General features: G+C 42.0%; 1 protein-coding gene and 1 pseudogene across 1 annotated transcript in view, besides 4 other annotated features; one reads left to right on the top strand and one right to left on the bottom strand.

Annotated features, from left to right (window-relative positions):
• The window catches only part of SPIN1 (spindlin 1), a 90,251-nt gene that overhangs the window by 49,574 nt on the left and 19,008 nt on the right, over positions 1 to 21,669 (bottom strand). Inside the window, exon 2 of the mRNA NM_006717.3 lies at positions 2,530 to 2,739. Within this exon, the coding sequence (NP_006708.2) occupies positions 2,530 to 2,581 (52 nt within the window). The 5' untranslated portion in view covers positions 2,582 to 2,739. The remainder of the gene's footprint in view (positions 1 to 2,529; positions 2,740 to 21,669) is intronic.
• Positions 9,515 to 10,714: an enhancer, noted in NCBI's record as "P300/CBP strongly-dependent group 1 enhancer chr9:91033322-91034521 (GRCh37/hg19 assembly coordinates)". NCBI's record gives its function as "activates an origin of replication core promoter dependent on BRD2, BRD4, P300/CBP, MED14 and CDK7 cofactors, with strong dependence on P300/CBP, by STARR-seq in HCT116 cells {active_cell/tissue: HCT116}" and the evidence as "EXISTENCE:reporter gene assay evidence [ECO:0000049][PMID:35650434]".
• Positions 9,515 to 11,127: a biological region, named in NCBI's record as "P300/CBP strongly-dependent group 1 enhancer GRCh37_chr9:91033322-91034521".
• Positions 10,407 to 11,123: an enhancer, noted in NCBI's record as "OCT4-NANOG-H3K27ac hESC enhancer chr9:91032913-91033629 (GRCh37/hg19 assembly coordinates)". NCBI's record gives its function as "activates a minimal SCP1, AML or CMV promoter by ChIP-STARR-seq in naive H9 embryonic stem cells {active_cell/tissue: H9 hESC(naive)}" and the evidence as "EXISTENCE:reporter gene assay evidence [ECO:0000049][PMID:30033119]".
• Positions 10,833 to 11,127: a silencer, noted in NCBI's record as "tiled region #424; HepG2 Repressive non-DNase unmatched - State 16:ElonW, and K562 Repressive non-DNase unmatched - State 24:Quies". NCBI's record gives its function as "represses a minimal TATA promoter and a strong SV40 promoter by Sharpr-MPRA in HepG2 and K562 cells {active_cell/tissue: HepG2 | K562}" and the evidence as "EXISTENCE:reporter gene assay evidence [ECO:0000049][PMID:27701403]".
• On the top strand, positions 17,601 to 18,789 carry HNRNPA1P14 (heterogeneous nuclear ribonucleoprotein A1 pseudogene 14; annotated as a pseudogene).

Here is a 21,669-nt window from a genome sequence, read left to right as displayed (position 1 = left end):
CTGAGGCAGGAGGACCGCTTCAGCTCAGGAGTTGAAGACCAGCCTGGGCAACACTGCGAAACCCTGTCTCTACAAAAAAATTAGCCAGGCTTGATGGCACACACCTGTGGTCCCAGCTAGTCGGGAGGCTGATGCAGAAACCACCTAAGCTCAGGAGTTCAAGGCTGCAGTGAACTATAATCATACTACCACACTCCAGCCTATGTGAGAGAGAGGAACTCTGTCTCTTTAAAAAAGAAAGAGAGAATAGGCAAGAAAAAACACTTTGGTTTGTTTTTCTTGTATCTTCTTACACAACATTAAAAAATAACCTCACGGACTCTTATGCTAAAATATCTCACACGCCAACTAGGATTTACATAGAACCTATTTTGTCTTTAAGCCTATGCCATATGCCATAAAAAAATCAAAGAATAAGAAAATGTAAGATCAAAGTACTTGTTAGGATTAACAATCTCACCCTTTAAAAAAAATAAAATCTTTTGGTTTAGTTCCTTCAGTTACTTATACCATATTACACATCACTTTACTCAGCCTGCTAGGTTCCTCACAAGATGATTTCAAAATCGATAAAGAAAATAGCAATGTTCACAGCCATGAAAAAGAATGAAATCAAGTCCTTTGCAGCAACAAGGATGCAGCTAGAGGCCATTATCCTAAGTGAACTAATGCAGAAAGAGAAAACCAAATATTGCATATTCTCACTCATAAGTTGGAGCTAAATCTTGGGTTCATGTGGACATAAATATGGAAACTATCAACACCGGGGACTCTAAAGGGAAGGAGGGACGCAGCAAGGGCTGAAAAACTTCCTGCTGGAACTAGTATGTTCACTATCTGGGTGACAGCATCAATAGAAACCCAAACCTCAGCACCATACAATATACCCTTGTAACAAACCTGAACACGTACCTCTGAATCTAAAATAAAAATAGAAATTTAAAAGAAGAATGCATGTTGAATTTGGAATGCTGTATGCTGTACATATATGAACTTTAGAAAAGGAATTACTATTTCAAATGACAGAGACCTGGGAGGTTTCACCAGTCAATAAACACCTGGCAGCAATTTTTTCAATTAATGAGAAGAAATAAAAATATCTTATTCTAAACATTATGATCAATAATAACACTATTAAAAGTGCCAGGCAACTACCTAAACATTTGACTCACATCTCATTTAGTCCTTAACCCCAATAGGTACATTAATAGTCCCATTTTTTGGCCAGGCGCAGTGGCTCACACCTGTAATCCCAGCACTTTGGGAGGCTGACGCGGGAGGATCACTTGAGGTCAGGAGTTCAAGACCGGCCTGGCCAACATGGCAAAACCCCATCTCTACTAAAAATACAAAAAAACTGGCCGGGCAGGGTGGCTCATGCCTGTAATCCCAGCTACTGGGGAGACCAAGGCAGGAGAACCGCTTGAACCCAGGAGGCAGAGGCTGCAGATCACCTGGAGCCAAGATCGCCTGGGTGACAGAGCGAGACTCCGTCTCAAAAAAAAAAGAAAAAAAAGAGAGAAAAAGAAAAAAAAAGTCCCGTTTTTTTAGATGAGAAAAACTAAGGCTCAAGAGGACTAAGAAATGTGCCCATCTTTATACAGCTAATAACGGCTAGGATTCTGAGTAAGCTCTCATATACCTTAAACTTCAGTCATCACCAACCCAAATTAATCTGACTGACAAATATTAAATATTTAAATGAGTATTATCTTTATAAAAGAGAAGCTAAAATAAAGATAAAGGGTACTTAGAAATCTTAATTCTTGTGGTTTTTCTACAACAGAACTCCAAATACTACAGTAAATAAATAGAAGAAATTGTTCTAAATCACTTAAGTTTGTACTATTAATAATTTTTATAGAATAATTCTGATTCATTTGTCAAAGAACCCTAAAATGTTCTTTTTCAACATTCAGATATATGTCTGAAATGGAGAAGAATGCTTTTCAAGTCCCAAAGAAAGTATGACTTACCTATTTTATAGGGTATTCTATAAGATTTTGTTTATCTTTATTGGGGCAGGCACGCTAAAAATCAGGCAAAGACTAACTTCTATTCAAGTTATACTAGCTATGTGCCACAAAAATAAGAATGAATGTAATTTTTATTAAAATTTCCACACCAGTAAACTTCTTTCAAGTAAACACAAGAAATTCCAAGTTTATCTTTCTTCCTAAAAGTTGCTCTCAGTACACTAAATCTCACTAAATCCAACTCATGTCACCTCACTTTAACTCTTCCGGAAAAAACTCCTTTTACTATAATCCTATTAACAGATATTTACAATTCACTTGCTAAATTTACTAGACATTTATAACCTGCTAAAGGATTATACAGAAATTTCATGTGACTACTTCCCTTTCAAGAAACTTAAATCTGCTTCTTAATATATGCATATGTGTATAACATACTAGAAATGACAAAGTTTTTCACTAGCTATTATGTGAAAGTACCCAATTTTACACTTGTTTGAAATGAATTATATTAAAGTATATATTTAAATATGTGTAGAACCGCAATGCCTACCTGCATCAGCTCTGGACCGCTGGCCAGGTGTCTTTCCGAATGGGGTCTTCATTCATCTGTATTTAAGTGAGCAGCGGAGCTGCTGGACTAGGGTGAAAATTCAATATTCTCCAATTTGAAACTTTTCACAGAATGTTAGTGTTCTGGTTAATCCACCATCCAAGTGTCTCTTTTACGAGTTCAGCAAAAATACGTGAAATCACAAGCACTCTGTAAAATAGTGAAACAGTTCATTACTAGAGCATCAAGAGAGCAAAATTATGCCTAGTGAGCCATTAAACATAAAATTTTAAGCAAAAGTATTAGCTAAAGTGCATTTTGTCCCAAAGCAATTAACTTTATTTCCTAAGACCTGGGTTCTTAGGACATGACAAAGTAGAAAGGAGAAAAAGAGGTGATAGACTCTTTAAAAAAAGAAGCCTGGGACATGTGCAAGACCCAAAAGTGAAGCTCTTCCAAGATCAACTGGAACACAATACAGCTGCTGTCTGACATCCCCATTATTATCCTAAAGCATCCTGCTGCTAGAAATCAGAAAAGGGTGGATGCTGGGATTTCACAGAAGATTTAGACAGCATGGCCCATCTGTCTAATGGGACACAAAGAAACAGAGTATGGGGGTGGGAGACAGGGGTGTGAGGTTACTGGGGAGGCAGAGTGGAAGGACAGCACGGGGGCAGCACAGGAAATCATGTTCAAGACAGAGTAACAGCAAGGCTGAAGATCAGCAGGCCAGGGTCTTGGGCAAGAGAAAGAATTATAGCCAAACACGTCTCTGAGTTTCCCTTTCTGCTCACAAGCTTCCAGAAACTAAAGAAAAAGGTCGAGAAATTTCAGCGGAGCCTCAAAGACAGTTCCTCACCCATGCAAATGCCAAAGTCATTTTATGGAAGTAGTGTATCTTTTTTTTTTTTTTTTGAGACAGAGTCTCGCTGTGTCGCCAGACTGGAATGCAGTGGCGCAACCTTGGCTCACTGTAACCTCTGCCTCCCGGGTTCAAGCAATTCTGCCTCAGCCTCCGGAGTAGCTGGAACTACAGGTGTGCGCCACCATGCCCAGCTAATTTTTGTATTTTTAGTAAAGATGGGGTTTCACCATGTTGGTCAGGATGGTCTCAATCTCCTGACCTTGTGATCCACCTGCCTCGGCCTCCCAAAGTGCTGGGATTACAGACGTGAGCCACTGCACCCTGCCAGAAGCAGTGTCATCTTTTAAACCAAATTTAGTTCCTAGAGATACAGCAGGTCTGTTTCACCACTCAATGATGTAGAGAGACTAGGCCTAAGATGAAGGCTATCAGGACAACTGGTTGCTTACTCACCTTTCCCTGAGAGCCTATCCAGCTGCCACATCAAATCTCATATCCCTCTTTTCCCTCATTAAACTCTCTTCCCACTCAGACCTATCTAATGGGCCCCTATTACTCTCTTCCCCCAGCCTGCCCAAACCTCTCCAGAAGGTAAAGTCGTTCTTCAGCAAAGTGCAGTCTACTTTGACCACATGACCCTACCACCAATAGCTCCCCCAAAAAGATGGTTTGCATTTGTCACCACACACCCTGACACAATCTCTCCTACCCCAATCCTCACCCTAGAAGCACATGCCATAACACTAGTCATAACAGCTATCCCTTTTTGTTACTTTTCTACCTGTGAATCTTCCGTCATCAGCACTCATTTGTTGAAGATTATGGTATTGGCTTTACTTCTTTTCCTCCATGATCCCATCAACATTCTTGACATCCTCAACATCCACACATATGATCCATTCAACCTCCCGCCTGGCTCTTACACACCCTACCTTCAAACCACTTACCCTACACTTCATCTATTCTCACAGTCTCAACACAGACCTTTTTATCAACAATAACTGCAATAATCCCAAAACCTTTATTTCAAGTATCTCATACTCAAAACCATCTCTGATCATTCTAGTTTTCTTACACTGACACTCCCATTCCAACAATTATTTGATGCAACCAGTATCAATGTACAGCTTTATTGTTTTTCCAATATCGCATTATCTCCCTCAGGGACTAACTTCCCTTATTATTCTGCTTAGATTTTCATGGATGGTCAATCACATCACGATGATTATTATTCCATTGCTTTTCTCAATTTTCTTCCCTTCTCTTCTTGTCACTGTTGTATGGCAAAACCCTAACCCAAATCCCTTCCTAGAGTGCTTACAACATAAAGTGGTTAAACATGGATGAAAAACATACAAAAATTTCACTTCAAATTTGTAATCTCGTATCTCAAGTGTGCATTCAACAATACTACCCACAGCCTCAGCAGACAGGCTTGCTATTGGCTAGGAAAACAGAAGCAAAGAGAACTACTCAACTACTCATCACTTTACCACCAAATTGACTAACTGATCAGTACCCTTTGTCTCCATAATAAAAGATGCAATATCTCTGAGCCACATTCAACCCTGTCACTTGCCTAATCAATCCCATACTTTTTCTCTGTATACATTTACCACTAGCATAGTCCCATCAACATACAACACACGATGTAAAGGCCAGGCGCAGTGGTTCACACCTGTAAACCCAACACCTTGGGAGGCCAAAGTAGGCAGATCACTTGAGCTCAAAAGTTCGAGACCAGCCTGGCCAACATGGCAAAACCATCTCTACAAAAAACACAACAAAAAATTAGCCGAACATGGTGGCGTATGCCCTTGGTCCCAGCTACTCGAGATGCTGAGGCAGGAGAATCACTTGAACCCAGGAGGCAGAGGTTGTAGTGAGCCAAGATCACACCACTGCACTCCAGCCTGGATGACAGAGTGAGACCCCATCTCAAAAAAGTACAATAAATAAAGAAGATCAAGAGCTTTTTATTAAAAAAAAAAAAAAAATACATGATGTAGGCTGGGCACAGTGGTTCACACCTGTAATCCCAGCACTTTGGGGGACCGAGGTGGGCAGATCACCTGAGGCCAGGAGTTCGAGACCCGGTCTCTACTAAAAATACAAAAATTAGCCAGGTGTGGTGGTGCATACCTGTAATCCCAGCTACTTAGGAGGCTGAGGCAGGAGAACTGCTTGAACTCGGGAGGCAGAGGTTAGAGTGAGCCGAGATCGCACCACTGCACTACAGCCTGGGTGACAGAGCAAGACTGTCACAAAACAAACAAACAAACAAACAAAAAACCCACAAACCATAATGTAGTATTTCCCAATTTTAAAAAACATCCCATGACTCCACTCCCTTTCTGTGCTATTTACAGAATGACTTCAAAGATCAAGAAAAAAAATTCTGCCTGAGCCACTGCACCCAGCCAGATTAAAGAAATTTTAAAACTACATAAAATCAATTTATCCTAACAAATTCATTCAATGAAATGAAAATTTTAACTTACTGATATTCTGAAGTATGTACCCTCCTATCAGATTTAAGCTTATCTTAGCAGTATTTTCTGCTGTTTTCCACTTCATTAAAATTTCAAGTTGAACTTGTTAATAAACTAAAAATTTAAGACAGGAGTAGAAGGAAGAGTCGCAGTGGGGGAAGGATACATGGTGGCTATTTGAATAATATTAGAACGCAAAACTCCAGATAAGAGTCCTTCCCTCAGCTGGGTGTGGTGGCTCACGCCTGTAATCCCAGCATTTTGGGAGGCCGAGGTGGACGATCACCTGAGGTCAGGAGTTCAAGACCAGCCTGGCCAACATAGTGAAACTCGGTCTCCTCTAAAAATACAAAAATTAGCCAGGCATGGTGGTGGGCAGCTGTAATCCCAGCTACTCCAGAGGCTGAGGCAGGAGAATCGCCTGAACCCGGGAGGCAGAGGTTGCAGTAAGCTGAGATAGTGCCACTGCACTCCAGCCTGGGCGACAAGAGCAAGACTTCATTTCAAAAAAAAAAAAGAAAAAAGAGTCCTTCCCTCATGTTGAGATGTAATCTAAAAAATAAAATAAAATTTTAGAGTCCTTTCTCTTTTTTGAGTTGCAAGTAATAAATAGTTCAACCACCTGATCTTATCCTAACTCCTGTTAAGACCAGAAAGAAATGCAGAGACAGATCAAAAGGAAAACACTAATGAGTGCTAACTAATGAAAACCCTGGTTTTAACAGCTGCCATGTAAGGCTTTCAAAATTCAGATGAACTAGAGCTTTTCTAAAACAAATCCCACTCTTCTTTGACTGGAAAAGGCTAAATTTAATTTGCTCAGGTTTTTTTAAAGATATACCATCTTCACCTTAAGTTATTCTACTAAGTGATTAACTTTGTAAATGAAAACTGAAGGAAAAAACTGAAGGAAACAAAAAAATTTTAGATTCAGAGTTAGCATTATTTCTAGGTTAGCAGAACCTTCAAGTGTTACGGAAAATATTGTCAAATGGAGCTTTATTATAAGGTCATTAAGAAGAAGGTCCTGCATTCAGAGAGACCCATCAATAGTTGCTAAAACTATCAAGAGAAAGGTTGCTGGAGAACAATAATTGTACGGTATCAAAACAAGTAACTCCACAGGTTACTCGTTAATTATAAAGGGGAAAATGTTACTGCTTTACAATGGAGCAATCTTGACCCTTCACTACAACGGAATTGAAAGATAAAACAATTTGGCATCATTAAAAGGGAATCAACCTTGCTTTATTCACTTCTTAATGTGATATGACGCAAAGCAGACTATATCACTTATAAAATACTCGTCAAAAATGTTTTACCTCCAGGTGAAATGTGGCAATATAAAATATATTAAAAAAAAAATCTAGTCAAGCTTTTAGATCGAATTTCTAGTTTACAGAAATACAGGTGATGCAGAAGCAACTTAGACAACACCATGAGGAAACAGACAAATTAGAAAGGTGGACTTTGTACATGAAAAGTGGGCCATACTCTTCAAAAAGTCAGTGTCAAAAAAGAAAAATGGTAGACATACTGCTCTAGACTAAAAGAGACTAAAGACTCAACAATAAGACACAATGAATAAACCCTAAACACACGGTTTGTTGGGGCGGGGGGAGGGGGCTGGCGAAAGCTACAAAAGACACTTAAGGCCAGGCACAATGGCTCATGCCTGTAATCCTAATCCTTTGGAAGGCTGAGGAGTAGATCACTTGAGCCCAGGAGTTCAAGTGATCAATCAACACAGTAAGGATAGCTGTGGGTGGTGGTGCACATCTGTAGTACCAGCTACCAGCTACTCAGGAGGCTGAGGTAGGAGGATCACATGAGACCAGGAGGTTAAGGCTGCAGTGAGCCATGATCGAGCCACTGCACTTCGGCTTGGGCAACTGAGACCCTGTATCAAAAGAAAAAACACACAGACACACACACACACACATTTAAGACAACTGGGAAAATTTAAATGCAGACTAAACATTAGATATTGTAAGATTATCATTAAATTTTAAAAGCACAACAAAGACATTGTGGTTATGCCTGAGAATATATTCTTTGGAAACATGTTGAAATGCTTAAAGAGGTAGACTCACAATTTCTGTAAGTTAACTTCAAATAATTCAGGGAAAGAAAACAATACATACATGAGGGTTAACATAAATATCAAAAGACAAAATTACAATAATGTGGTTTAAGGATCTTAAACAGCTTTATTTACGATTCTAGAATCCAGCAACACTTTGTTCCATAAAATAGAATGAGCATCCAATGAGCAGAGCAGAGGCTACGTGTACAGACAGAACAGGCCTGAAGAAAGCAGAAACAAAGAACTGTGAAAATAATTCAAAATCAAATCTGCTGGAAGTTTTTAAATTATTTTCAGCCTTAAAGAAATGTGATAATGGGATCTGAGTCACATGACAGGCAGCTTTAGTCCTCTGATAATGAATTAGCCTCTTTACCTACACTGTTTTGTAAAATGTTGGAAAAGACTAAAGGGCTCCAGAGAAGACCCCCATCCCTCTAAACTTAATCTTCATTGTAGATTAACTTCCTTCTTTTACACAAAGACCTCAAGACTACCACACTAAGATGGAATGTTAAATAAACTCTTTTAAATTGGAAAAGGAAAAGAACTGTAACTAATCAAATTGCTATAACTCATAAACCAACCTTGTATGGAAAATGTGGCAATCCTGTTAAATTTGTTTTCTGCCTACATAAGCAAGACCTTAAACTTTTCAGCTTCAGAGGACTGGCTGGCTCCATTCCTCTGGATTCTGTGCTACCCAGTTGGCTACTCTCAGTTTTGCACTTGAGTAAAACTCTTTTGTTTTGTTTCTGTTTCGTTTTGTTGAGACGGAGTCTCACCCTGTTGCTCAGGCTGGAAGTGCAATGGCGCAATCTCGGCTCACTGCAACCTCCGCCTCCCAGGTTCAAGTTATTCTCCTGCCTAAGCCTTCCGAGGAGCTGGGATTACAGGCATGCGCCACCACATCCAGATAATTTTGTAATTTTAGTAGAGACGAGGTTTCTCCATGTTGGTCAGGCTGGTCTCGAACTCCCAACCTCAGGTGATCCACCCGCCTCGGCCTCCCAAAGTGCTGGGATTACAGGCATGAGCCACCGCGCCTGGCCTGAATAAAACTCTTTTAAACTTGACTGTGATCCTTTTGATTATTTCAGGATGGCAGAACAAAAAGCGGATTGGTCATTTCAAAGTTACTTTCCTTGTAAGGAAGGAATGAAAAAACAGGACAATAGAGAAATCACTGATTGGGAACTGCATTATCATGCCAACTGGAACTGCCTGGTTTGAGAAATTAAGGCTATTCCTCTCTCCTGATTTCTGGAAAGGTCCGATAACACCTCAGTTTGGTAGTCTGGAACCTCAGCATGAGTGGCTCCATTTAGATTTTAGTCTGGTCTATCATGGCCCAGTGCAGAAGATTAGCTCAAAACAATGGCACCACCTACAATTTCCATTCAACATGAACATGGCAAAGTATTTTTTAACGTAGGTGAAGAGAATATTAGTGTTCACTAATGTTATTCTTTGAACTTTTATTTCAGTTCAAATTTTTCATAAGAAATTAAGAGAAAAAAAGATGCTGGATTTTCCTTTGCTAAGTCCATCTTTATTAAATATAGTTAAGTATTGTTATAAAGTTTCAGTGCCACAAAATAAATAGCACTCAAATACAAAATTTTCTTTTTTTTCTTCTCAGCAAGGCAATTTACTTCTATAGAAGGGTGCGCCCTCACAGATGGAGCAGTGGTGAGCACACTACCTGCACAAGGGAGAGCAAGGGGTTCTTATTCCTGACGCATGGGTCCCCTGCTGCTGTGTCATTCCCCTACTGGCTAGGGTTAGACCGCACAGGCTAAACTATTTCCAATTGGCTAATTTAAAGAGAGTGACGGGGTGAGTGGTTTGTCAGGAAAAATGGTTATGACAGAACAGGAAATCAGAATGAGTCAGGGTGGAGAATGAGTCAGGGTGGAGCAGGTAATCAGAATGAGCCAGGGTGGAGCACGTAATAGGAATGAGGGTAGGAAAGGCTGCTTTAAGAGGAAGTTAATTTTAAAAGTAGAAGGCAAAGAATTGAACATACTGACATATTGATTCTTTGAAGAGAAATTTAGAACTCTTATCTAACAGTATCCAGGCTTGCAATTTTACTAATCTTAAAAATGTGTCATGAACTTAAATTCTGAAACTCAAAATTCTCATTCTATTGCAATCTCAAAGGAGATCAAAAAATTCTCCAACTACTTACCAGAAAAATGACTGTTCACTGAGCACTCGCTATGTGTCATGCACTCCTCACAACCATGAGGAAGATATGCACTATAACTATTCCATCTTGGAAACTGAAAAACTGCAGCACAGACATTAAAATAACTTGGTCAGGGTCACACAGACTGCAACTAGCATTGTCGAGATAAACTTCCTATTTAAAAATAAACACATAGATTGCTTCAATAAAGGAATAGGGTATCAAGAAATCAATGACAATGTATTGTCTCCAAAAAGGCTAAAACATGAATATTTCAACATTTCAGATATAAAAGCAGTAATTCTCAGGAAACAGAGTCATATCAAAGTATTTGTTGCCTGCTGCTACCACTGAACAGTGCTATTTATAAAAAGAAAATTGACTCCTAAAACTGTTTAAGCAAAAATACTAAGTTCCCATATCTTAACACCAGGACCACTAATGAAAAAGTATACAGGAGTACTAATAGTGAAACATGTCAAGTGTAAACTGAAGCTTGGGCTGTCAACAAGTTGTCTTAAAACTGTTACCTTGGTATGCAACAAGACCTAAACAAAAAAGAAAAAAAATTGTTGTCACACAAGGTTAAACGTGAAGAAATATATACTTTGTTCTTCCATTTCCTGGTACCCAAATTCCTAAAACTCTAGGAATACCAGTGTCTTTTTTATGCTAATGAGATGAATGATGTCTGATGGCTTCTGGATAGCCTCAGGAAGTGGTTTGATTTCCAGGGGAACCCCACCAGTGGTTAGAGGGTTGGAACTTTCAGCCCTACCCTGGGAAGGGAGGCGGGTAGAGGAGAGGGCTAAAAGCTAAGCTGATCACCAGTGGGCAACGACATAATCAATCATGCCAGCTTACTGAAGATCACAGAAAAACCCAAAAGGACAGCTGCAGAGAAACTTAAGGTTCGTGAACACATGGAAGTACTGTGAGGGTGATGAGCCCAGAGTAGGCAGGGGAGTTCCACACTCCTTCTTTGCCTTATGCATCTCTCTTCCATCTGGCTGTTCCTGAGTTGTATTCTTTACTATAAAATGGTAATCTAGCAAATACACTATTTCCCTGAGTTCTGTGAGTGATTCTAGCAAATTACAAAACCTCTTTGAAAGAGGAATCACAGGAGTCTCCAATTTATAGCTAGTGTGTCAGAAGCACATAACATAACCTGGACTTGGCTGGGGTGTGGTGGCTCATGCCTGTAATCCCAGCACTTTGCAGGCCAAAGCCAGCGGATCACTTGAGGTCAGGAGTTCAAGCCTAGCCTGGCCAACATGGTGAAACCTCATCTCTACTAAAAATACAAAAATTAGCTGGGCATGGTGGCACGTGCCTGTAGTCCCAGCTACAGGGGAGGCTGAGAAAGGAAAATTGCTTGAACCCGAGAGGCAGAGGTTGCAGTGGGCCGAGATCACACCACTGCATTCCAGCCTGGGTGGCAGAGTGAGAACTCCATCTCACAAAAAATAAATAAGTAAATAAATAAAATAAATAACCTGGACTTGCAACTGGCATGAGAAATGGGGGCAGTCTTGTGGGATGTGATGCTATTTCCAGGTGGATACTCTGAGAAGTTAAACTGTAGGACAACCAACTGGAGTCATCAGAGAAAATGAGACACAGATAATGTAGGGAAAACCCACACACATTTGATCACAGAAGTGTTGTGCTGAGTATGAGCATAGAGAATAAGAATTTGTTTCTCCTTTCTAACTTAGTGGGGATTACATAAATTATCACAGACATTTATACGAAAAAAACATATAGCTAAAATCTAAATACAGAGCATAGATATTAGATATGAAGGGCTAATTAGCTTTCTTAAATATGGCATGTAGTTACAAAGAATAACAACCTTACTTTAACAAGTGTCATGATGTCTGCAATTTAATGCAACTTTCAAATGGTTCAATAATAAAAAACAGTAGAGCAAAATGTAAGCAAATTAAAATCTTGATATCAGGTAGACAGGTTAGGTCATTCTGCTATAGTTTCAACTCTTCTATGTGTAGAAAATTTCATTCAAGGCTGGGCGCGATGGCTCACGCCTGTAATCCCAGCACTTTGGGAGGCTGAGGTGGGCAGATCACCTGAAGTTGGGAGTTCGAGACTAGCCTGACCAACATGGAAAAACCCCATCTCTATTAAAAATACAAAATTAGCTAGGCGTGGTGGCACATGCCTGTAATCCCAGATACTCGGGAGGCTGAGGCAGGAGAATCACTTGAACTCAGGAGGCGGAGGTTGCAGTGAGCCGAGATCATGCTACTACACTCCAGCCTGGGCAACAAGAGCGAAACTCCATCTTAAAAAATAAAGAAAGAAAAAGAAAATTTCATTTAAAAAGTTTAGGGAAAAAACAGCAGGGGAAAGGAGTAACTAAGTTTAGAACTAGCAGCAGCATCACAAGGGTTTACCAGTTAAGTTTGTAACTAAGACATTATTATTAAAAGTAGAGAAATGCCAGATGTGGTGGTATACATCTGTAGTTCCAGTTCAGGAGGCTGAGGTGGGAGGATCCCATGAGCCCAAGAATTTGATGCTGCAGAGAGCTATGATCAAGTCACACTGCACTCCAGCCTAGGTGACAGAATGAGACCCCATCTCTAAAAATAAACAAATAAAACAAAAATAGGGTAAGAAAGGATGGTTTAGCAGAAAAGAAATTTAAAAACAAAAAAGAGGAAAAGACAGCAAAATATCTGCAATTCCTGAATGTAGATGTTGAGGACAGATATTAACTGCCTGTTTCAACTTTTCTATGTTAGAAATGTTTCACAACAAAAATTTAGGGTCAATGGTTTTAGGTTTTATAGTTCTGGAAAGAAAAAATACTCAGAGTACAACTCAAAACCTTCCTAGGTAACTACAAGAATTTATTAAGACGTTCTTGGGCTAGGCGTGGTGGCTCATGCCTGTAATGGCAGCACTTTGGAAGGCCAAGGCGGGCAGATCACGAGGTCAGGAGATCGAGACCATCCTGGCTAACACAGTGAAACCCCATCTCTACTAAAAATACAAAAAAAAAAAAAAAAAAATTAGCCGAGCATGGTGGCTGGCGCCTGTAGTCCCAGGTACTCAGGAGGCTGAGGCAGGAGACTGGCATGAACCCGGGAGGCAGAGCTTTCAGTGAGCCAAGGTTGCACCACTGCACTCCAGCCTGAGCGACAGAGCTAGACTCCATCTCAAAAAAAAAATTATTACATATTCTTATTTAAAATGTTACAATGGGCAGGGTGGGGCTCAAACCTGTAATCCCAACACTTTGGAAGACCAAGGTAGGAAGATCACTTGAGTCCAGGAGTTCCAGAGCAGCCTGGGCTACACAGTAAGACCTCATTGCTATAAAAAAATAAAAAATAAAAATTAGCCAAGTGTGGTGGTGCATGCCTGTAGTCCCAGCTAACTGGGAGGCTGGGGTGGGAGGATCACTTAAGCCTGGGAAACAGAGGTTGCAGTGAGCCAGGATGGCATCACTGCACTGGGTGACAGAGCAAGACCTTTCTCAAAAAATAAATGTTACAATGAATGGAACTTAAGGACAATGTTCTAGGGGCCTCTGGTGTAGGTTCTGCCTTTAGCTAAAACTTCAAAGATTAAAATAAAGGGCTCAATCCTTATAAAGCATTGCTAATTACACAATGTTCAGCTACTTAAGGATCCTGGCAAAGCAGCTATCATATATACCAAGTAGATATCTGAAGGCCTTCAGAGCCCAAATTCTCTATCAATATAAAAATTATTAGGCCAGGCGCAGTGGTTCACACCTGTAATCCCAGCACTTTGGGAGGCTGAGGCGGGCGGATCACAAGGTCAGGAGATTGAGACCATCCTGGCTAACACGGTGAAACCCCATCTCTACTAAAAATACAAAAAAATTAGCCAGGCGTGGTGGCATGCACCTTTAGTCTCAGCTACTCGGGAGGCTAAGGCAGGAAAACTGCTTGAACCCAGGAGGTGGAGGTTGCAGTGAGCCGAGATCATGCCACTGCACTCCACCATGGGTGACACAGCGAGACTCCATCTCAAAAAACAAAAAAAATTATTAAACACCCTAAACCACTAAATATCAAAACACCAAGTTTTAATACAAGTGTAATACGTGGTCAAAATTTATAAGGACCATGGATTTGGACAGGAGAAAAAATTTTATCTTCATCTTTCCTAACCTCTACCTGAAGTACAGCACTTCCTTCTATCATGAATGCGTGCAACAAACCACAGTATTAGTAGTAGTACTTCCAACTTCTCAACAATAGAAATCACATATATTTCCATCCCATTGCATTTGTTGTAGCTCAAAATACCACTTAAACTCATCAGCTGACACTTGACTAGATTTGCCACCAGGATAGAGCACATAGTCTTCTCATGCAGGCGCTCAGGCACAGCTCAGGTCAGCCACGTGATATCACTAGGCCTGGTCCTTAGGCATCAAACTGAAAACAGAATTGCTGACTGTGGTATAACAGAGAGACTGGATGGCCTTTGTCCCAGCTCCAGTTGGTGCCCTTTAAATCCCTGAAATGTCCTGAGAGGGACAGGGCATCTCTGTGATTCATGGTGAGCACCTAGTTTATGTTAACAAGATCTCAGGATGTGGAGGTGGGGGGCTGGCCAAACCAGAAAGACCAACCATGGCATTAGAAGGTTGGGGCTCTGAGCCCCAGGATAACAGCCCAAAGTTCAGAGAGGGGAGCAAGAAATTGAGTTCAAGCTCAAGGCCAATGATTCAATGGATCATGCTGATGTAGTTAAGCACCAATAAAAACTCTGGACACAGAGGCTCACATGAGCTTTCCCGGTTAATACCCTGTCTCCACAGGAGGGCATGAACACTTCATATCTGAGACCTTCCCAGACACTGCCCTATATGTCACTTCTTATGGTTGGTCCTAATTTGTATTTTTTTTTTTTTGCTATAATAAACTATAAGTACTGGACTTTCTTGAGTTTTGTGAGTCATCCTAACTGAATTATCAAACTTGAGTGTGATGGAAACCTCCACATTTGTACTTGGTCAGAAATAAAAGTAACATGGGAGCCCCCGAAGTTTGCAGCTGGTATCCAAAGTGAGGGCAGTCTTGTGAAAACCTATTAACTTTGATCTAAGTCGAACTGTATCGAAATCATACATCCACAATGCTCACTAAAGTTCCCCATCAACAATTATTTGTTGATGAATATATAAAAGGAGGTAAGCCAAAGACCACCCCACAATTGATTTTTATTAAACATCAAAACCTTAATTTTGGCCCGGCACAGTGGCTCACACCTGTAGAGTGTGAGACCTTGGGAGGCCAACATGTTAGGAGGCCAAGGCAGGCTGATTGCTTGAGGTCAGGAGTCTGAGACCAGCCTGGCCAAAATGGTGAAACCCTGTCTCTACTAAAAAAAATTAGCCAGGTGTGGTGGTGCGCACCTGTAGTCCCAGCTACTCAGGAGGCTGAGGTAGAAGAATCACTTGAACCTGGGAGGCTGAGGTTGCAGTAAGCCAAAATCGCACCACTGCACTCCAGCCTGGGCGATACAGGGAGACTGCCTTAAAAATAAAAAAAACAGAACAAAAACACCTTGGCCAGGGAAGTGGCTCACACCTGTAATCCCAACACTTTAGGAGGCCAACACTTTAGGAGGCCAAGGCAGGCAGATCACCTGATGTCAGGAGTTTGAGACCAGCCTGGCCAACATGGTGAAATCCCATCTCTACAAAAATTAGCCAGATGTGGTGGCACGCACCTGTAGTGCGAGCTACTCAGGAGGCTGAGGCAGGAGAATCACTCGAACCTGGGAGGCAGAGGCTGCAGTGAGCCAAGATCGCACTACTGCACTCTAGCCTGAGCAACAGAGCAAAACTCCATCTCAAAAAAAAAAAAAAAAAAACTTAATTTTAATATCTTAAAAAACAAAATCTGAATTATCTATATACCAACAATATTGTCTTGTCACTTAAATTACTGACAAAGAGGCCAGGCGCGGTGGCTCACGCCTGTAATCCCAGCACTTTGGGAGGCCAAGGTGGGCGGATCACGAGGTTAGGAGTTCGAGACCAGCCTGGCCAACATAGTGAAACCCTGTCTCTACTAAAAATACAAAAATTACCCGGGTGTGGTGGCATGCGCCTGTAGTCCCAGCTACTAGGGAGGCTGAAGTGGGAGAATCACTTGAACCCGGGAGGTGGAAGTTGCAGTGAGCTGAGACCGCGCCATCTGCACTCTAGCCTGGGTGACTGAGTGAGACTGTCTAAAAAAAAAAAAATTACTGACAAAGAAAGACACCATGGTCTTCTGTTTAACAGGGTAGTAATATTTGTATAACTTAAATATAATTGGTTTCTGTTGTGATCCTATGTATTTCATTCACTGTGTTCAGAAGATTCTGAAAAGGCATCCATAGGTTTCATAAAACTGGCAAACGGTCCATGGCACAACCCCCTCTGCCCAAACCTATGGACAACAAGCAGTCTCTCTGGGTCTTTGATGGGTTTCTGAAGGCCACCCGCAAGGATCAATATAAATGGCCAACTCTTGGGAACAATGGACTGGTAATTTAAACAATCCTCCCAACAGCTACAAAATTAAAGTAAAATTTACAAGGATATCCCTAGTAAAAACTATCAGAAACCAGAGTTGCTTAGAGAAATAACCAACTCCAGATAAGGAGAAGGATATTAGAGGAGCTTGGAATATCTTGTCATATCAGAAGCAAGGAAGCTCTATCAACGACTACTGGAATTGTGTTAAGGAAACAAAAGGTTTTTGTTTTTTTTTGAGATGCAGTCTCGCTCAGTCACCCAGGCTGGAGTGCAGTGGCATGATCTCGGCTCACTGCAAGCTCCGCCTCCTGGGTTCACGCCATTCTCCTGCCTCAGCCTCCCGAGTAGCTGGGACTACAGGCGCCCACCACAAGGCCCAGCTATTTTTTTTTTTTTTTGTATTTTTAGTAGAGACGGGGTTTCACCGCACTAGCCAGGATGGTCTCGATCTCCTGACCTCGTGATCTGCCCGTCTCGGCCTCCCATAGTGCTGATTACAGGCATGAGCCACCGCACCCGGCCTCAAACGGGGTTGTTCTGAACTATTTTCTTGACTTCTGTATATAACTGAAAACTACCATAAGAAAAAGTTGAAAATAGGCCAGGCACAGTGGTTCACACCTGTAATCCCAGCACTTTGGAAGGCAAGGGAGGGAGGATTGCTTGAGCCCAGGCGTTCAAGACCAGCCTGAGCAACACAGGGTGATCTCATCTCTACTAAAAATTTAAAAAATTAGTCAGGCATGCCGATGCATACCTGTAGTCCCGGCTACTAGGGAGGCTGACACAGAAGGACAGCTTGAGCCCAGGAGGCCAAGGCTATAGTAAGCCAAGATCATGCCACTGCACTCTAGCCTGGGTGACAAAGTGAGATTCTGTCTCCAAAAAAAAAGCTTTCTGCCCATGGATGACGCTGAAGCATCATTAAAGTCTCTCTTCTCCATGCCATCATGTCTAAGTCACAAGTCTCCTAAAGAGCCCGAACAGCTGAGGAAGCTCTTCATTGGAGGGTTGAGCTTTGAAACAACCGATGAGAGCCTGAGGAGCCATTTTGAGCAATGGGGGACACTCACGGACTGTGTGGTAATGAGAGATCCAAACACCAAGTGCTCCAGGGGCTTTGAGTTTGTCACATATGCCACTGTGGAGGTGGAGGATGCAGCCATGAATGCAAGGCCACACAAGGTGAACAGAAGACTTGTGGAACCAAAGAGAGCTGTCTCAACAGAAGATTCTTAAAGACCAGGTGCCCACTTAACTGTGAAAAAGATATTTGTTGGTGGCATTAAAGAAGACACTAAAGAACATCACCTAAGAGATTATTTTAAACAGTTCTGAAAAACTGAAGTGATTGAAATCATGACTGACCGAGGCAGTGGCAAGAAAAGGGGCTTTGCCTTTGTAACCTTTGACGACCACAACTCCGTGGATAAGACTGTCATTCAGAAATATCATACTGTGAATGGCAACAATTGTGAAGTTAGGAAAGCCCTGTCAAAGCAAGAGATGGCTAGTGCTTCATCCAGCCAAAGAAGCTAAGTGATTCTGGAAACGTGGTGGTCGTGGAGGTGGTTTCAGTGGGAATGACAACTCTGGTAGTGGAGGAAACTTCAGTGGTCATGGTGGCTTTGGTGGCAGTGGGGATGGCTATAATGGATTTGGTAATGGTGGAAGCAATTTTGGAGGTGGTGGAAGCTACAATGATTTTGGCAATTACAACAATCAGTCTTCAAATTTTGGACCCACGAAGGAAGGAAACTTTGGAGGCAGAAGCTCTGGCCCCTATGGTGGTGGAGGCCAATACTATGCCAAACCATGAAACCACGGTGGCTACTATGGTGGTTCCAGTAGCAGCAGTAGCTATGGCAGTAGCAGAAGATTTTAATTAGGTAACAAAGCTTAGCAGGAGAGGAGAACCAGAGAAGTGACAGAGAAGCTACAGGTTAAAACAGATTTGTGAATTCAGCCAAGCACAGTGGTGGCAGGGCCTAGATGCTACAAAGAAGACATGTTTTAGACAAATACTCATGTATATGGGCAAAAAACTCGAGGACTGTATTTGTGACTAATTGTATAACAGGTTATTTTAGTTTCTGTTCTTTTGTTTAAAGCATTCCAACAAAAGGTTTTAATGTAGATTTTTTTTGCACCCATGCTGTTGATTGCTAAATGTAATAGTCTGATCATGATGCTGAATAAATGTCTTTAAAAAAAAAAAAAGTTGCACACACACACACACACACACACACACTAAATATATGCATGAAAGCATCAAATAACTTGAAAGATAGTAAGGTATCAGAGAGACAGGATCTAAAGAGGGACACCCTACATTTATAACCACTTTGGTCCCTGAGAGCAATTGCCAAGTGTTAAGGACCAGCTGAGAACTTGACAGCTTGGTAAGATTAGGAGAAAAGAACTAAAATTCGGAAAATACCAAAGGGGGTTACAGGGGGACTGGTAAACTCACCTCCCTTCGAGTTGGAATCCTGAATTGCTGAACTTAAGAAGGAGGGAAAAGGGAAGCTGCCAGGCTCTAAGACATGTAGCTCAATTTCTTTTTTTTTTTTTTTGAGACGGAGTCTCGATCTGTTGCCCAGGCTGGAGTGCAGTGGCGCGATCTCAGCTCACTGCAAGCTCCGCCTCCTGGGTTCACACCATTCTCCTGCCTCAGCCTCCTGAGTAGCTGGGACTACAGGTGCCCGCCACCATGCCCAGCTAATTTTTTTTTTGTATTTTAGTAGAGACAGGGTTTCACCATGTTAGCCAGGACAGTCTTCATCTCCTGACCTCGTGATCCGCCCGCCTCGGCCTCCCAAAGTGCTGGGATTACAGGAATGAGCCACCGCACCTGGCCGTCGTGTAGCTCAATTTCAACTCATCTTTATCCCTAAAACTGAACCACGGTGTTCCCAGACTGCCTATTCCCTAAGATGCCTGAGATAGAAATAAGCATAAATCCTCTCTGGATATATCATCCTAGACCCGAAATTATTCAAACGATATTTATAATGTGATCTACTAGATGTGCACGTGTGTATACACACACACAGAGCCAACAAGGAGACAAAATGAATAAAAACCAGCAGAAAAAAAAACAAGAAAAAAGAAAAGCAGGCCGGGCACAGTGGCTCACGCCTGTAATCCCAGCACTTTGGGAGGCCGAGGCGGGCAGATCACCTGAGGTCAGGAGTTCGAGACCAGCCTGATCAACATGAAAAAACCCCATCTCTACTAAAAATACAAAATTAGCCGGGCATGGTGGCGCATGCCTGTAATCCCAGCTACTCCCGAGGCTAAGTCAAGAGAATCTCTTGAACCCAGGAGGTGGAGGTTGCGATGAGCCGAGATCACGCCATTGCACTCCAGCCTGGGCAACAAGAGCAAAAATTCATCTCAAACACACACACACACACACACACACACACAAACACACACAAACACAAAAGGGCCGGGCGCTGTGGCTCACGCCTGTAATCCCAACACTTTGGGAGGCCCAGGCGGGCGGATCACGAGGTCGAGATCGAGACCACCCTGGCCAACATGGTGAAACCCCGTCTCTACTAAAAATTAGCCAGGCATGGTGGCAGGTGCCTGTAATCCCAGCTACTTGGGAGGCTGAGGCAGGAGAATCGCTTGAACCCGGGAGGCAGAGGTTGCAGTGAGCCGAGATCGCGCCATTGCACTCCAGCCTGAGCAAAAAGAGTGAAACTGTCTCAAAAAAAAAAAAAAAAAGGGCCAGGCATGGTGGCTCACACCTGTAATCCCAGCCCTTTGGGAGGCCAAAGCGGGTGGATCATAAGGTCAGGAGTTCAAGACCAGCCTGCCCAACATGGTGAAACCCTGTCTCTCCTAAAAATACAAAAATGAATGAGGCCTGGTGGCGGGCACCTGTAGTCCCAGCTACTTGGCAGGTTGTGGCAGAGAACTGCTTAAACCCAGGAGGCGGAGGTTGCAGTTAGCCAAGATAGCACCACTGCACTGCAGCCTGGGTGACAGAGCAACACTCCGTCTCAAAAAAAAAAAAAAAAAAAGAAAAAAAGGAAAAGAAAAACCAAAACAAAAATATCCAGGATGAAGCATGACAAGGGTAAGGGACTGAGAAGATCTGAAGTGCTTAAATGGGCTCTCAGAAGGTGGGGGGAGGGGGTAAAGGGGGGATAGCAGAAATTGCCTGTCAACTTTTCGAAACTAATGAAAGACATCCCACCATGGGTTCAATAAAACCTAAGAATTCCAAGCAGGATGAATAAAGAAATATATAACCAAACACATCACAGTAAAACTGTTGAAAACTAAAGGCAGAAAAAAAAAACATAAAGCCTGCAGTACCAAGAGATTCCAGGCTGGGCACAGTGGCTTGCACCTGTAATCCCAGCACTTTGAGAGACTGAGGCAGGCAGATCCCTTGAGCCCAGGAGTTCAAGACCAGCCTGGACAACATGGCGAAACCCTATCTGTCTGTACAAAAACCACAAAAAATAGCCAAGCATGGGGTGGCTCAGGCCTGTGGTCTCAACTGCTCAAGAGGCTGAGGTAGGAGGATCATTTGAGCCTGGGAGGTGGAGGGTGCAGTGAGTCGAGATCATACAACTGCACTCCAGCCTGGGTGACAGAGCAAGACTCTGTCTCAAAAAAAAAAAAAGAGAGAGAGATTCCAGTCATAGGAGTGATTTTTAAAACTTGACAGTTTACTTCTTACAAAAAAAAAAAATGAAAACTGAAGATACAATTCAATAGCTTTTTTTTAATTTAAAAAAAAATTAGAGATGAGGTCTCACTATGTTGCCCAGGCTGGTCTCGAACTCTTGAGCTCAAGTAATCCTCTTGCCTTGGCCTCCCAAAGTGCTGGGATTACAGATGTGAGCCACTGCTCCTGACCACAATTCAATAGCTTATTTTAACACCTTAGAAGAAAACTGACAACTTAGAATTCTGTACACATCAGAAGTATCCTTC

Source organism: Homo sapiens, chromosome 9 (assembly GCF_000001405.40).
Source record: "Homo sapiens chromosome 9, GRCh38.p14 Primary Assembly".
Taxonomy (NCBI): domain Eukaryota; kingdom Metazoa; phylum Chordata; class Mammalia; order Primates; family Hominidae; genus Homo; species Homo sapiens.
Note: the sequence above shows the minus strand (reverse complement) of the source record. Positions and strands in the feature narration are given on the sequence as shown.